The 17,585-nt window shown below is 38.2% G+C and overlaps 1 protein-coding gene across 26 annotated transcripts in view; it reads right to left on the reverse strand.

Annotated features, from left to right (window-relative positions):
• SCAPER (S-phase cyclin A associated protein in the ER) overlaps positions 1-17,585 on the reverse strand; it is a 557,437-nt gene that overhangs the window by 265,239 nt on the left and 274,613 nt on the right. For all 26 annotated transcript variants that reach the window (NR_148227.2, XR_007064448.1, XM_017022273.2 and 23 more), the window contains one exon: positions 8,622-8,687. Coding sequence is in view for 24 of the 26 variants with exons in the window: in XM_017022273.2 (XP_016877762.1) it covers positions 8,622-8,687 (66 nt within the window). In the remaining 2 variants the exon portion in view is untranslated. The remainder of the gene's footprint in view (positions 1-8,621; positions 8,688-17,585) is intronic.

The raw sequence follows: 17,585 nt of genomic DNA on the forward strand, positions 1-17,585 counted from the left end.
ACAAACCTGACAAAAGCAAGCAATGGGAAAAGGATTCCCTATTCAATAAATGGTGTGGGGATAACTGGCTAGCCATATGCAGAAGACTGAAACTGGACCTTTTCCTTATACCATGTACAAAAATTAACTCAAGATGGATTAAAGATTTAAATGTAAAACCCAAAACTATAAAAACCCTAGAAGACAACCTAGGCAATACCATTTGGGACACAGGCATGGGCAAAGATTTCATGACGAAGACACCAAAAGCACTTGCAACAAAAGCAAACACTGACAAATGGTATCTCATTAAACTAAAGGGCTTCTGAACAGCAAAAGAAACTATCAACAGGGTAAACAGACAAACTACAGAATGGGAGAAAATTCTTGAAAACTATGCATCTAACAAAATACCTGGCATCTATAGGGAACTTAAATTTACAAGAAAAAACAACCCGATTAAAAAGTGGGCAAAGGATATGAACAGACACTTTTCTAAAGAAGATACACATATGGCCAAAAATCATATGAAAAAAAGTTCCACATCACTGATCACTAGAGAAATGCAAATCAAAACCATAATGAGATATCATGTCATACCAGTTAAAATGGCTACGATTTAAAAGTCAAAAAATCACAGATGCTGGCAAGGTTGTAGAGAAAAAGAAATGCTTACACACTGTTGGTGGGAGTGTAAATTAGTTCGGCCATTGTGGAAGACAGTGTGGTGATTCCTCAAAGGGCCTAAAGACAGAAATACCATTCAACCCAGCAATCCCATTACTGGACATATATCCAAAGGAATATAAAGATACATGCACACACATATGTTCATCACAGCACTATTCACAGTAACAAAGACATGGAATCAATTTAAATGCCCACAAATGATAGACTGGATAAAGAAAATGTGGTATGTATACACCATGGAATATAATACAGCCATAAGAAGGAATGAGATCATGTCCTGTGCAGGGACATGAATGGTGCTGCGGGCCATTACCCTTAGCAAACTAACACAGGAAGAGAAAACCAAATATCACATGTTCTCATTTATAAGTGGGAGCTAAATGATGAGAACTCATAGACACATAGAGGGGAACAACATACCTTGGGGCCTTTTGGAGGATGGAGGGTGGGAGGAGGGAGAAGACCAAGAAAAATAACTAAGGAGTCTCAATACTTGGGTGATAAAATATTCTGTACAACAAATCCCCATGGCACAAGTTTACTACCTATGTAACAAATCTGCACTTGTAACCCTGAACTTAAAAGTTAAAAAACAAATAACAAAAACAAAAACAAACAAATGAAGACTCAATAGATTCACAAAGATAGATGTCATACAATGTGTATTCTCTGACCACAACAGGATGAAGTTAGAAATTTGTAACAAAAAAACAAACCTGAAAAATTCACAAATTTGTGAAAAATAACGCATTTTTACACAATCAATGAATCACAAAAGTAGTCAAAGAAAAATCAGAAAATACAGACAAATGAAAATGAAAGCACAACATATCAAAATGCATGAGACACAGTGAAAGAAGGGGGACATTTATAAACATTTATATTTAACAAAGTAGAAAAGGAAGAAAAATCTAAACCCAAAGCTTTATTATTTCCTTCAGAAAGAATAATAAAGACTAGTACAGGGATAAATGAAACAGAATTTTTTAAAATAGAGAAAAATCAATGAAACCAACAGCTGGTTCTTCCATAAGACAAACTAAACTGACAAACCTTTAGCTAGATTGACTATGAAAAGATACTAATTGCTAAATTCAGAAATGAAAGTGGGCACATTACTACTGATCTTACTACTTATGAATACATAAGAAGGATTCAAAGAGAGTACTATTAACAACTGTATGGCACTAAATTGGATAACCTACACAAAACAGACCACTTCCTAGAAACCCAAAATATGCCAAAATCTAATGATGAAGAAATAGAAGACCTAAAAGACATACAATTAAGTAGATCAGTAATCAAAATCTCTCGTTGAAGAAAAGCCTTGGACTTGATGGATTCACTGGTGAATTCTACCAAGCATTTAAAGAAGATGTAATAGCACTTTGGGAGGCTGAGGGGGGGCGGATTGCTTGAGCCCAGGAGTTCAAAAGCAGCCTGGGCTACGTGGTAAGACCCCCTCCCTACAAAAAATTACAAAAATTATCCGAGTTGGTGGCACACTCCTGTAGTCCCAAGCTACTTGGGAGGCTGAAGTGGGAGGATCCTTTGAACCCGGGAGGCAGAGATTGCAGTGAGCTGAGATCGCGCCACTGCACTCTAGCTTGGCAACAGAGCAAGAGTCCATCTCAAAAACAAATGTGTCTGTATGTGTATATATACATACACACACACACAGACACACACACACACACACACACACACACACACACACACACAAATGAGGCCAGGCACGGTGGCTCACACCTGTAATCCCAGCACTTTGGGACACCGAGGTAGGCAGATCACGAGGTCAGGAGATTGAGACCATCCTGGCTAACATGGTGAAACCCCATCTCTACTAAAAATACAAAAAACTAGCTGGGCACGGTGGCACACACCTGTAATCCCAGCTACTCGAGAGGCAGAGGCAGGAGAATTACTTGAACCCGGGAGCTGGAGGTTGCAGTGAGGTGAGATCCCACCATTGCACTCCAGCCTGGGTAACAGAGCGAGATTCCATCTCAAAAAAAAAAAAAAAAAGAATATACAAATGTCCAAAAAGCACACGAAAAGATGTCCAACATCACTAATCGTTAGGTAAATGCAATCCGAAACTAAAATGAGATACTATCTCAACTATATGGATGGCTACTATCAAAAAAAGCAGAAAATAACAAGTACTGGTGAGGACATGGAGATATTGTTACTCTTGTGCAGAGCTGGTGAGAATGTAAAAAATGGTATAGCTACTGTGGAAAACAGTGTGCTGGTTCCTCAATATATTAATATTAAAAATAGATTTGCCATATGATCTAGCAATTCTACTTCTGGATATATACAGAAAATAATTAAAAACAGGGACTCAAAGAGATATTTGTATACCCATGTTCACAGCAGCATTATTCATAATTGCTAAACAGTGGAAGCAATCCAAATGTCTAATGACAGATTAATGGATAAGCAACACATATAGTGGAGTATTATTCAGCCCTAAAAAGGATGAATATTCTTATCCTTGGTGCAACATGGATAAATCTTGAGGATATTATGATAAATGAAATAAGCCTATCACAAAAAGACAAATACTGTATATTTACACTTAACATGAGTTACCCAGAGTAGTCAAAATCATAATAATAGAAAGTAGAATGGTGGTTGCCAAGTGCTAGGAACAGGAGGTATGGGAAATTATTGTTTAATGGGTATAGTTATAGTTTTATAAGATGAAAATAGTTCTGGAGATGGATGATGTAATAGCTACACAACAATATGAATGTATTTAATATCATTAAACTGTATTAATAATGAGTAAGATAGTAAATTTTGCTATATGTATTTCATCACCATTTTAAAAAATGAAAAAAAGTACAGTCGTAGCCATCTATGTCTCCTAAATATAGTATAGATATGAAGTACTGATGACTTAATTTGCTTTCCTTGTTGATATATATAGTTTTTAGGAAGATGTATATGGAAATTTGAATTTAAGTAGCATTACTACCTTTTTGGGCCTCTATCATTTTAATGTAAAAAGCTCATACTGTATCAAAATTACAAGTTTTCAATCATCATAAGCATTTCCTCACAGCATTAAAATGTCTATAAACATAATTTTTAAAAATCCAATTAAGTAGTTTGGAATTTCAAAAGTAAAACAAATTGGGCACTTTTAACTTCCTTTTCCTTGTATTATCTGATCATATCCAATATTTTCTCCTACTGATGAATGATCTTGCTCATATTAATTTATACAAGGTATTGATTTATATATTACATGAGCTCTTTATCATTTTTGTTGTAAATATTTCCACCCCTCTTTTTTCTTTATGGTATTTAACCAAGCATAAAGTTTTCACTTTGATATAGTCAAAGTCATCCGTCTTTTCTTCTCTGACTCCTGTGTCTAGAAGTTTATTTAGAAGGGACTTTGACATTTCCTCTGTTTTCTTCTAGTGTTTTTACAGTTTCATGTTTTTATCTTTACATCTTTGATTAATCAGTAATTTAACTGCTAGAGTAAGGAGTGAAAAGAGTATTCATCAGCATTTACTGGCTAATCTATCCTTTCCCTAATGACTTGGAATTCCACCTTTGTCGTTGCATCAGTAATTACTTGCTGTGAAACAAACTGCCTCAAAACTCAGTATCTTCAAACAACTATCTATTTGCTCCCTGCAGTTTGACCTGGGCTCAGCTAGATAATTCTTCTCGTCTCACCTAACATAACCAGCTAGGTGATAACTGGTCCTGGATGGCCTTAATCCCTTGCCTAGGGTTTTCAGAAGGGACAGCCAGGACAACTGAGCCTGTCCCTTCATGTGATTTCTCACTCACAAGGAGGCTGACCCAGGCTTCCTTACATGGCAGTTACTGAAGAATAAGAAAGTGAGGGCGAGAACAGAAACCATAGACCCGTGAGGCTAAGGCTTGGAAGTCACATATCACTTCTACAGCTTTCAATGGGCCAAAACAAGTCACAGGTCCAGAAGTTCAAGAGGAAGGGAAACAGAGTCCACTTCTTGATAGGAGAAACAGCAAAGTTCTACTGCAAAGGGGCATGTATTCAGAAATGGCTCAACTTCTTCTGGCCATCTTTTGCAAATACTGTATACCACAGTCATATATTAAATTTCCTCAAGTATTTAGATGTATTTCTAGACTGTTTTAAAAAATCTCTTCCAGCTGGGCATGATGGCTCACACCTATAATCCCAGCACTTCGGGAGGCCAAGGCGGGTGGATCACTTGAGGTCAGGAGATCGAGACCAGTCTGACCAACCCTGGTGAAACCCCGTCTCTACTAAAAACATAAAAATTAGCCGGGTGTGGTAGCAGGTGTCTGTGATCCCAGCTACTAGGGAGGCTGAGGCACGAGAACCACTTGAACCCGGGAGGAAGAGGTTGCAGTGAGTCGAGATCACGCCACTACATTCCAGCCTGGGTGATAGAGTGAGACTCTGTCTCAAAAAACAAAAACAAAAACAAAAGAACACTCTTCCAACAATTTGTATTTTTATTCATGTGTGAGTGCAGCTTTAAAATTTTATTAAATATCCATTAGCTGAGTCCTATCTCATATTCCTTCTTTCAAAAATTTTTCCTAGAAATTCTCAGACATTTCTATATTCTCTTTAGAATGATTTTAGATCTATGAAAAAAAGGTTGCTATTTTACAGGAATTACATTACATTTGTAGGAATATTTACAGCAAACTTACTGTCCTGTGTCTTTTATCCAAGAGTATGATTTGTCTTTCCATTTATAAAAGTCTTTTATATCTCTTGTTAGCTTTTTTTTCACAAGTAGAACATTATTATTTATTATTTTCTCTTCTGTGACACGATTATTCATTACAATCCAAATTAACAGAATTGCTAAATATTAAAATATTACAAAATTGATTTAAAATTGTATCAACTTATTACTTGAGAGTTTTAAAAGTAAATATGTATTTCAAAAATTATATAATGAGCACATGAAGCCTGTTTTAAGCAATGTTTACAAAAATGAGAAAGAAAGTGATATACAAATGACAAATTCTCCTTAAATGGCCTTTATTATTATTTTGAGATGGAGCCTTGCTCTATTGCCTGGGCTGCAGTATAGTGGCACGATCTCAGCTCACTGCAACCTCCACCTCCCGGGTTCGAGCGATTCTCCTGCCTCAGCCTCCTGAGTAGCTGGGATTACAGGTGCACACCACTATGCCCAGCTAGTTTTTGTATTTTTAGTAAAGATGGGGTTCTGCCATGATGGTCAGGCTGGTCTTGAACTCCTGATCTCAAGTGATCCACCTGCCTCACATTCCCAAAGTGCTGGGATTATGGATGTGAGCTACCGCACCCAGCCGTGTTTCTATTACTATAAACTAGTTTGCATTTTCTACTACTTGATATAAATGGAATCACAGACTATGTACTTTTTATGCTCCAGCTTCTTTCACTCAGATAATTATTTCAGTATTTATCCTTTTTGTTGTGTGTTTATTCTTTATTACTAAGTAATACCCCATTGTATGAACCTATACATTCATCTTTTGATAAATATTTGAGTTATTTCCAGTTTGGAGCTATTATTACAATTAAAATGGCTGCAATATATACAAGTCTTTATGTGGGCACATGCTTTCATTTCATTTGGGTATATTCCTAAGAGTGGAATGGCGGGGAGTATGTTTAGCTTTTTAAGAGAATGCCAAACTATTTTTCCAAGGTAGTTGTATCATTTTATATTCCCATCTTTTAGAGAGAGCTAATTTGTTTTATGCATTCTCTGCAATTATTTTTTCTTTCTTTTTTTTATTATTATTATACTTTAAGTTTTAGGGTACATGTGCACAATGTGCAGGTTAGTTACATATGTATACATGTGCCATGCTGGTGTGCTGCAGCCATTAACTTGTCATTTAGCATTAGGTATATCTCCTAATGCTATCCTGTTAGCTTTTTAAGATTTTCTTTTAATAGATCCTTCACATTTCCTCTTAAGTTTACTCTTAAAGGTCGGGCACGATGGCTCATGCCTGTAATCCTAGCACTTTGGGAGGCTAAGGTGAGCAGACTGCCTGAGCGCAGGAGTTCGAGACCAGCCTGGGCAACAAGGTAAAATTGTCTCTACTAAAATATAAAAAATTAGCTGGGCATGATGGCACTTACCTGTAGTCCCAGCTAGGTGGGAGGCTGAGGCACAAGAATTGCCCGAACCTGGGAGGCAGAGGTTGCAGTGAGCCTAGATCATGCCACTGCCTTCCAGACTGGGCGACAGAGCGAGACTCTGTCTTCAAAAAATATATATATATAAGTTTTCTCTTAAATATTTTACTTCTTTTTATTGCTATTGTAAATATATTTATATTTTCTAAGTGGTTATTGCAAAGAAAAGCTATTAATTTTTGTATGCTAGATATGCTGTTGTGTAGCTTCAGGCAAGTTACCCTCTCTAGAGCTTAGTTTCCCTAATTAACCTCATAGAATTATTGTCAGGAATGAGTTAGCACACATAGAGTCTAGCATAAGGTAATGGCTCAGTAAATGTTACCTATTATTGTTATTATATTAATTTGGTAATCCACCATCCTACTGAATTGATTTCTCTTGTTGCTTCTACTAGTTCTGCACTCCATTCTCCTGATATACAGTATTTGTGATATACAGCATCTTCCTAATCTTGATAATTTTCTTACTTCTTTAATGTTTTATATGGATTTATCTTTTTATTACAATGCCTAATACTTTCAGAACAATAATAAATAAAAGTAGTAAGCTGACTGGTATCTTTTGACAGGCAAGAATATTTCTACTGTAAATGCAAATAATGGCTACATTAACATTCTATAGCATATGTACACCAACAAGTGGTTATGGATATTCCTCAACTTGGGGCACTTAAATTGTTTCTTGACTTTTTCACTGTTAAAAGTACCAGTAAAAGAGTCATCTATGCAAAATTAATGCAGGAACAGAAAACCAAACACCGCATGTTCTCACTTATAAGGGGGAGTTGAACAAGGAGAACACATAAACTTAGGGAGGGGAACAACACATGCTGGGGCCTGTCGAGGGGGGACAAGAGGAGGGAGAGCATCAAGACAAATAGCTAATGCATGCTGGGCTTAATACCTAGGTGATGGGTTGACAGGTACAGCAAACCACCATGACACGTTTACCTATGTAACAAACCTGCACATCCTGCACATGTACTGCAGAACTTAAAATTAAAAAAAAATTTTTAAAAGAGTCATCTATGTATATAAATATCTGAGCACATTTTGCGCTATTCCACTGAGCAGGCTTAGGTCTGAATAGGACTTCCTAAACTGCTAATGCACACTGCTTTTCAACAAGACCATACTAGTCTGTACTCCCTTCAATAGTGTTTCTAAGTACTTTTCTCACTGCAGCTCTACTGACAGTATTTTTAAGAGAAACAAAATGATGATGCCTTTGTTTACCTAGCTATTATTTAATTACATTTACACCTCAATGGTGAAGTCTAAATTCTCATCTAAAATCTCATGAGAATTAGCATTAGAGAACTCTAATTCTCTTTACGGACTGGCCCGAGGAACAATCCTTAAAGAGATCTCCTCAGAGCAAGCACCAGCACAGCCTTGCTTTGCCAGAACCTGATCTGTTAGAACAGGGATTCTCAACCTTGGTACTATTAACATTTTGGATGAGACAGTTCTTTGTGAGGGTTGTCTTATACACTGAATAATATATAGCAGAATCCTTGGCCTCCACCCACTTGATGCTAGCAGCCCCAAGTTGTGCTCACAAGAACTGTGCCCAGACATGGCCAAATATCCTCAGCCAACTCTCCTCTAGTTGGATACTACTGTGTTAAGAGAATGCTGTTCTAGAAATTAGAATCAAAGAACCTTATTACAGACATAACATGATGGTTGAGATACACTTTTGTTACAGGCATAGACTGAAGAAAAGGAGAACTAAAATGTGGAATACTCACTTTGCTTTATAAGGTGAATCAGAGCCAGAATTTTTGGTTTCCATTAAACTCTCATATTCCTTAGCCCTGAAGAGAAAAAAAGTTTTAACACAGTTATTTCACTGCTAATTTTTATAATAAACCAAAATGTTGGCTGTATTTTTCCCCTATTAAATATAACACTAAGCCTATTAAATCTGGTGATTGAAGTGGCTGACTACCTATGTACCTCAAGAGTTATACAATGAAAAGATAAATACAGGTAAATAATAATACAAAAAAAGTCATTTAATTTTAGAAATAACTAAAAAGACAGTGGAAATAACGTGACCAGACTCTCAAAGATGTGTTTTGTTTTTGTTTTTTATACTGACTAAATACCAAAGGTTCAGAAAAATTTGAGATACTTCTCTGCCCCTTTCTAACTAGGCTCCGGCTTGCCTAAACTAGTAGGTGACAGTCATCAAGCTAGTCACTGATCTAAGACAGTTCTCACTATAGCAATCCATTGTTGACTTAATTTGTACATTTCTCTTTTTGGAGAAAAAAAAGAGGAAAATGCCAATTTAAATGTTAACTGCTCATCCAAAGGATCCTGTTGTCAAAGAATTCATCCAGTGATCTACGAAAAAATTACCCACAATGTAAAACAATCTAGAGAACAATGACAGGTGAAAAAAAAAATACTCCTACCTAAAAAAGTGAGAAAAATGCAAATTACAATAGCCCTAATGAGGAAAAAAGCAAACTAGACAGATGATGCATTGGAATAAAGAAATATCTAAATTGGAATAAAATAAAAAAGTACATATTTTTTCAACCTAAGTATGCTCATTGCCATCAGCCTAAATATTAAGATTTTTATAAATATAAAGATTTTTACAAATATAAACATTTTGCATGTCAAAATGCAGAAATAACTACTTGGTAGCTACAAGTAATTGTGACCTCATCTGAAAGGTGGGAAAAGTAACAATTATGCATGGTGGAGTATGTTCCAAGCATTGTGCTGGCTGCTGTACATTCAATAATATCACAAGTATCTAAAAATTCAATATGGTATTATCCCTATGATATAATTTAGATATTTGTCCCCTCCACATCTCATGTGGAAATGCGATCCCCAATGTTGGAAGTCGGGCCCAATGAAAGGTGGCTGGATCACAGGGGTGGATCTCTCATTAACAGCCAGGTGCCCTCCCTATAGGAGTGAATAATAATGAGTGCATGTGACATCCAGTTGTTTAAGAGTGTGGCACCTCACCCCGTGAGCATTTTTTATGTCTCTTGGCTGACTGTATGTCTTCTTTTGAGAAGTGTCTGTTCATGTCCTTTGCCCACCTTTTAATGGCTTTATTTGGTTTTTGCTTATTCAATTGTCTAAGTTCCTTATAGATTCTGGATATTAAACCTTTGGATGCATAGTTTGTGAAATACTTTCTCCCATTCTGTAGGTTATCTGTTCACTCCATTGACAGTTTCTTTTGCTGAGCAGAAGCTCTTTAATTAGGTCCCACTTGTCAGTTTTTGTGTTTACTACAATTGCTTTTGAGGACTTAGTCATAAATTCATTGCCAAGGCCATTGTCTAGAATGGTATTCCCTAGGCTTTCTTCTAGGAATTTTATAGTTTAGAGGTCTTACCTTTAAATCTTTCATTCATCTTGAGTTAACTTTTGTATATGATGAAATGTAGGGGTCTAATTTATTTCTTCTGCATATGGCTAGCCAGTTATCTCAGCACCATTTATTAAATGGGGAGTCCTTTCTTCATTGCTTATTTTTGTCAGCTTTACCAAGGATCAGATGGCTATAGGTGTGCTGCATTATTTCTGGGTTCTCTGTTCTGTTCCATTGGTCTTACGTGTCTGCTTTTGTACCAGTACCATGCTCTCTTGGTTACTGTAGACTTATAGTATAGTTTGAAATTGGGTAATGTGATGCCTCCCATTTTGCTCTTTTTGCTTAGGATTGCTTTGGCTCTTCAGGCTCTTTTATGGCTCCATATGCATTTCAGAATAGCTTTTCATAATTTTGTAAAAAGTGACATTGATAAACAAAGACCATATGATCATCTCAATAGATGCAGAAGAAGTTTTCAATAAAATCCAACATCCCTTCATGATAAAAAACCCTCAACAGACTAGAATTGAAGGAACATACCTCAAAATAATAAAAGCCATCTATGGCAGCCCCACAGCCAATACCATAGTTGATGGGCCAAAGCTGGAAGCATTTCCCTGAAGAACAGGAACAACACAAGGATGTCCACTCTCACCACTCCTATTCAACATATTTTAAGTCCTAGCCAGAGCAATCAGCAAGAGAATAAAAGGCATTCAAACAGGAAAATAAGTCAAATTATCTCTCTTCACTGACAATATGATTCTATACCTAGAAAACTCTAAAGACTCTGCCAAAAGGCTCCTAGAACCGATAGACGACTTCAGTAAAGTTTCAGGATACAAAATCAATGTACAAAATCAGTAGCATTTCTATACACCGATAACATTGAAGGTGAGAGCCAAATCAAGAATATAATCCCATTTACAATGGCCACACATACACAAAAATAAGATACCTAGGAATACATTTAAACCAAGGAAGTGAAAGATCTCTACAAGGAGGACTACAAAACATTACTGAAATAAATCATATATGATACAAATAAATGAAAAAACATTCCATAGGGGCTCATGGATTGGAAGAATCAATATCATTAAAATGGCTGCCCAAAGTAACCTGCAGATTCAATGCTATTCCTATTAAGTTACCTTTCATTTTTTCTTCACCTTCTGGGACACTGCAAATTTGAGTATTTTGTCACCTTATGATGTTGCATATGTCACATATGCTGTTTTTCAGTTGTAAACAGCATCAGTGGTGTCTGTGATTTCCTCAGTGATTTATAGTAGGGTTGTTAGTGAAGGTTCTGGTGAAGTTTTGCTGGGGATGGGGACACCTCAAGCCCCAGTAGTGGCAGCAGTGGGCCAAATGTACTTGTTTTTAGGCTCCACAGTGACAAACACTGATACCGGCGTTAGCAGGTCCAGGTGAGCTGATTCTTGGGCCTACAGGCAGCTTGCTCTGGTGACAGGGGTTGCAACAATGGGCTAGTGAGGAAGGTGGGTTCTGGGGCCATGGTAAGGGCAATGGCAGTAGCATTGGCAGGAATAACCTCTGGATCCCAAATAGTTCACTCTCATGTTGTTGGTGGTAGCCTTCATGGGCTGGCAGTCTAATCCCCAGGCTTGCAGGTGGATGAACCCCCACGGTGATGGCAATGACAGGTTGGGTGGGCTTTCCCTTAAGCCCCCAGAGAGAGTACTCGGGTACCAACAGCGGTGGACTGGGCTGGGCAGTCCCCAGGCCCCTGGGCAACATGCTTGGTTACTGGGGGTGTGGAGATGAGCTGGGTGGATCTGTCATCAGGCACTCTGGTGGTATGTGTAGGTGCTAGCTTTGGTAGGCCAGCATGGGGTAATACTCAGGCCTAAGGCAGAATGCTTGGGTGGGCATGGCAGTGGATGCACTGGAGCCCCACTACTAGGGAGAATGAGGTTGCTCTCAGCAGCACCCATATGCAGAGGCAGCTGGGAAGCATGCACATTGCTTGTGCTTTGGCCCCAGGTTCAGCGGCCCACAGGGGTGGCTGCTGTTGGCAGGGAAGTTCATTCTTGGACGTATGAAGATGTTACAGTGGCCTCACCGCTAGGGGCAGTAGGGTCTTTGACAATGGCTCTCACTTCATCCCTGGAGGCAGTAGCCAACTCTGGTGCTGGCTGAGGGTGGGGAATGTCAACGGGGTTTGAGTTATGGAAATGCAGAAGCTGTTGGACCCCTGGGCAGAATGTAGCTCTGGTAGGAGGCAGACTCTGATTGTGGCACCTTTCTGTAGCTGCTCAGGGCTCAGGAGTATGTGAGGCCCAAGCATGGACTCCCTCTCTGGAACAATACCTTTATATGGTCTCCAAGTAGCTTCTTATGTTAGTTGCAGGGGCTTTCCCGTGGCTAGACGCAGGAGTCCACGGTGGGAATGTGGACTGCTGGGGATCACGCACTTCTTTCCCCACACTGGGGAGCCTCTCCAGGCTCCCAGCTGATCGCAGAAGAAAAGGCTACCTCACTTTCCTCTCCTATCTGGCTTTAGGTCAGGGTGTCCAATCTTTTGGCTTCCCTGGCCACAACGGAAGAAGAAGAACTGTCTGGGGCCACACACAGAATACACTAACAGTAACGAGAGCTGATGAGCTTTAAAAAAATCACCAAAAAAATCTCATAATGCTTTAAGAAAGTTTGCGAATTTGTGTTGGGCCGCATTCAAAGCCATCCTGGGCCACATGCGGCCTGCAGGATGTGCACTAGACAAGCTTGCTTTAGGTGTCTCCTGTCACTTCTCGGTTGAATGCCAATATTCTTAGATGATCTGTTCAAAGCGTGATTATCTACTCACTATTTTGGTTCTTTGTTGTGGAGGAGGCACACACTAGATGCCTCTAGTCAACCATCCGGAAGCACCTCCCATTTGATTCACTTTTAGCATTCAATTAAATATTTATTTCCAGTTTGACTCTGTATAAACTATAGTATGGGAGGGGGATACAAAGAGGTATATACATAATGAGAATATTCAAGAAACTTAGTCTGCAGAAGGAAGAAGATGACATAACAGCATAAAAAGATACATAATTCCAGCCACGTTCGGTGGCTCACGCCTGTAATCCTAGCACTTTGAGAGGCTGAGGCGGGTGGATCACTTGAGGTCAGGAGTTCAAGACCAGCCTGGCCAACATGGCAAATCCCTGTCTCTACTAAAAATACAAAAATTAGCTGGGTGTGGTGGCGCACGCCTGTAATCCCAGCTAATTAGGTGGCTGAAGCATGAGAATCGCTTGAACCTGGGAGGCGGAGGTTGCAATAAGCCAAGATTACACCACTGCACTCCAGCCTGGATGACAGAGAGAGATTCTGTCTCAAACAAACAAACAAAAAACATAATTCTATGGGGCAGAGTAAGTGACAGGTAAGTAATGTGATATGTTCACTTCCAGCTGTTTCCTGAAGGAAATGGAATGTGTACGCTCTTAAAAGTCAGGTGGTCTCCAAATACAAAGGAAATGGCATTATTACCAGAGAAAATTGAGTAAACAATGCTGAACGTAGGAAAAATACAAGTTATGCTTAGAACATTGTGGAGACCCATTTGGTCAGAGCAAAAGATTAAAATGTGAGAATAGCAAGAGATAAGGTTGAAAGAATCCTTTCAAATATACTGTCACAATTATAATCTGATGATTTGGTTTTCAGATGCTTGTCTACTTTGGTAAGATTAAAAATTTCATTGGTGTAGTGTTGTACACTGCATTTGTTCATTATTAATCTCAATATCATCTTGGTTATACTCCCTCTCAGTCATAATGTGGGATATATGTATGCTCCATTTTATTTTTTATTAGCTGTTTTGCTAACAAATCTTCTTGTTTTATTAAAAAAAGAGGCTATTTTACAAATCTCAGAAATTAAACCTCTATTTTTTTTATCTTTATAAAAAATAGTATATTGTAAGTGTCACCTGTGTATTTGTTAAATAAAACTAAGTAAATCCATGAATCTTTTTTTCCATGGGGGTGCACCTATCAATCCATCACCTAGGTATTAAGCCCAGCATGCGTTAGCTATTTTTCCTAATGCTCTCCCACCCCGAACCACACCCCCTGACAGGCCCCATTGTGTGTTGTTCCCCTCCCTGTGTCCATGTGTTCTCATTGTTCAGCTCCCACTTGTAACTGAGAGCATGTGGTATTTGGTTTTCTGTTCCTGTGTTAGTTTGCTGAGGATAATAGCTTCCAGGTCCATTCATGTCCCTACAAAGAACATGATCTCATTCCTTTTTATGGCTGCATAGTATTCCATGGTGTATATGTCCCACATTTTCTTTATCCAGTTTATCGTTGATGGGCATTTGGGTTGATTCCATGTCTTTTTTATTGTGAATAGTGCTGTAATGAACATACGCACACATGTACCTTTGTAACAATGATTTTTATTCCTTTGGGTATATACCTAGTAATGAGATTGCTGGGTAAAATGGTATTTCTGGTTCTAGATCTTTAAGGAATCACCACAGTCTTTCACAATGGTTGAACTAATTTACATTCCCACCAACAGTGTAAAAGCACTCCTATTTCTCCACAACCTCACTAGCCTCTGTTGTTTCTTGACTTTTTAATAATTGCCATTCTGACCGGCATGAGATGGTATCTCATTGTGGTTTTGATTTACATTTCTCTAATGATCAGTGATGTTGAGCTTTTCTTCATATGTTTGTTGGCCGCATGAATGTCTTCTTTTGAGAAGTGTCTGTTCATGTCCTTGGCCCACTTTTTAATGGGGTTTTCTTTCTTGTAAGTTTAAGTTCCTTTTAGATTCTGGATATTAGGCCTTAATTAGATGCATAGATTGCAAAAATTTTCTCCCATTCTGTAGGTTGCCTGTTTGCTCTGATAGTTTCTTTTGCTGTGCAGAGGCTCTTTCGTTTAATTAGATCTCATTTGTCAACTTTTTCTTCTGTTGCAATTGCTTTTGGCAATTTCATCATGAAATCTTTGCCCGTGCCTATGTCCCTAATGGTACTACTGAGGTTGTCTTCCAGTTTTTATAGTTTTGGGTTTTACATTTAAGTCTTTAATCCATCTTGATTTAACTTTTGTATGTGGTATAAGGAAAAGGTCCAGTTTCAATCTTCTGCATATGGCTAGCCAGTTATTCCATCACTATTCATTGAATAGGGAATCCTTTCCCCATTGCTTTTGTCAGGCTTGTCAAAGATCAGATAGTTGTAGGTGTGTGGCCTTATTTCTGGGCTCTGTATTCTGTTCCATTGGTCTAGGTGCCTGTTTATGTACCAGTACCACGCTATTTTGGTTACTGTAGCCCTATAATATAGTTTGAAGTTGGGTAGCGCGATGTCTCCAGCTTTGTTCTTTTAGCTTATGATTGTCTTGGCTATACAAGCTCTTTTTTGGATCCATATGAATTTTAAAATAGTTTATTCTAATTCTGTGAAGAATGTCAATGATAGTTTAATGGGAATAGCTTTGAAACTATAAATTATTTTGGGCACTATGGCCATTTGAACAATACTGGTTCTTCCTATCTGTGAGCATTCAATGTTTTTCCATTTGTTTGTGTCTGCTCTGATTTCTTTGGGCAGTGGTTTGTAATTCTCCTTGAAGAGGTCCTTCACTTCCCTTGTTAGCTGTATTCCTAGTATTTTATTCTCTTTGGAGAACTTGTGAATTGCAGTTCATCCATGATTTGGCTCTCTGCCTAATGTTGGTGTATAGGAACGCTTGTAACTTTTGCACATTGATTTTGTATCGTGAGACTTTGCTTATCAGCTTAAGAAGCTTTTGGGCTGAGACAATGGGGTTTTCTAGATATAGGATCATGTCATCTGCGAACAAAGACACTTTGACTTCCTCTCTTCCTATTTGAATACACTTTATTTTTTTCTCTTGCCTGACGGCCCTGGCCAGAACTTCTAAAACTATGTTGAATAGGAGTGGTGAGAGAAGCCATCCTTGTCTTGGGCCAGTTTTTGAGGGGAATGCTTCCAGCTTTTGCCCATTCAGTATGATATTGGCTGTGGGTTTGTCATAAATGGCTCTTATTATTATTGAAGTATGTTCCTTCAATACCGAGTTTATTGAGAGTTTTTGACATGAAGGGATATTGAATTTTATCAACGGCCTTTTCTGTGTCTATTGAGATAATCATGTGGTTTTTGTCTTTAGATCTGTTTATGTGATGAATTATGTTTACTGATTTGCATATGTTGAAGCAGCCTTGCATCCCAGGGATGAAGCCAACTTGATTGTGGTGGATAAGCTTTTTCATGTGCTGCTGTATTCAGTTTGCCAGTATTTATTGAGAATCATTGCATTGATGTTCATCAGGGATATTAGCTGAAGTTTTCTTTTTTTGTTGTATCTGCGCCAGGTTTTGGTATCAGGATGGTGCTGGCCTCATAGAATGAGTTAGGGAGAAGTCCCTCCCTTTCAATTTTTTGGAATAGTTTCAATAGGAATAGTACCAGCTCTTCTTTGAACTTCTGGTAGAATTCAGCTATAAATCCATCTGGTCTTGGGCTTTTCTTTTGGTTGGTAGGCTATTTATCACCTGCCTCAATTTCAGAACTTGTTATTCGTCTATTCAGGGATTCAACTTCTTCCTAGTTCAGTCTTGGGAGGGTGTTTATGTCCAGGAATTTATCCATTTCTTCTAGATATTCTAGTTTACTTGCATAGAGGTATTTATAGTATTCTCTGATGGTGGGGTCTATACAGTATATAGTACTGTGGAAACACAGTATTCTCTATTTCTGTGGGGTCATTGGTGATATCCCATTTATTATTTTTTATTGTGTCTACTTGATTCTTCTCTATTTTCTTCTTTATTAGTCTAGCTAGCTGTCTATCTACTTTATCCATTTTTTCAAAAAACCAGCCCCTGGATTCACTGAGTTTTTGAAGGATTTTTCACATCTCTATCTCCTTCAGTTCTGCTCTGAGCTTGGTTATTTCTTTTCTTCTCCTAGCTTTGGGGTTTGTTTGCTCTTGGTTCTCTAGTTCTTTTAGTTGTAATGTTAAGGTGCTGATTTGAGATCTTTCTAGGTTTTTGATGTGGGTATTTAGCGCTATAAATTTGCCTCTTAACATTGCTTTAGCTGTGTCCCAGAGATTCTGGCACGTTGTCTCTTTGTTCTCATTGGTTTCAAATAATTTCTTAACTTCTGCCTTAATTTCATTATTTACCCAAGAGTCATTCAGGAGTAGGTTGTTAAATTTCCATGTAGTTGTGTGGTTTTGCGTGGGTTTCTTAATCTTGAGTTCTAATTTGATTGCGCTGTGGTCTGAGAGACCGTTATTATTTCAGTTCTTCTGCATTTGCTGAGGAGTGATTTATTTCCAATTATGTGATCAAT

The sequence above is a fragment of the Homo sapiens genome, chromosome 15 (genome assembly GCF_000001405.40).
Source record: "Homo sapiens chromosome 15, GRCh38.p14 Primary Assembly".
Lineage (NCBI taxonomy): Eukaryota > Metazoa > Chordata > Mammalia > Primates > Hominidae > Homo > Homo sapiens.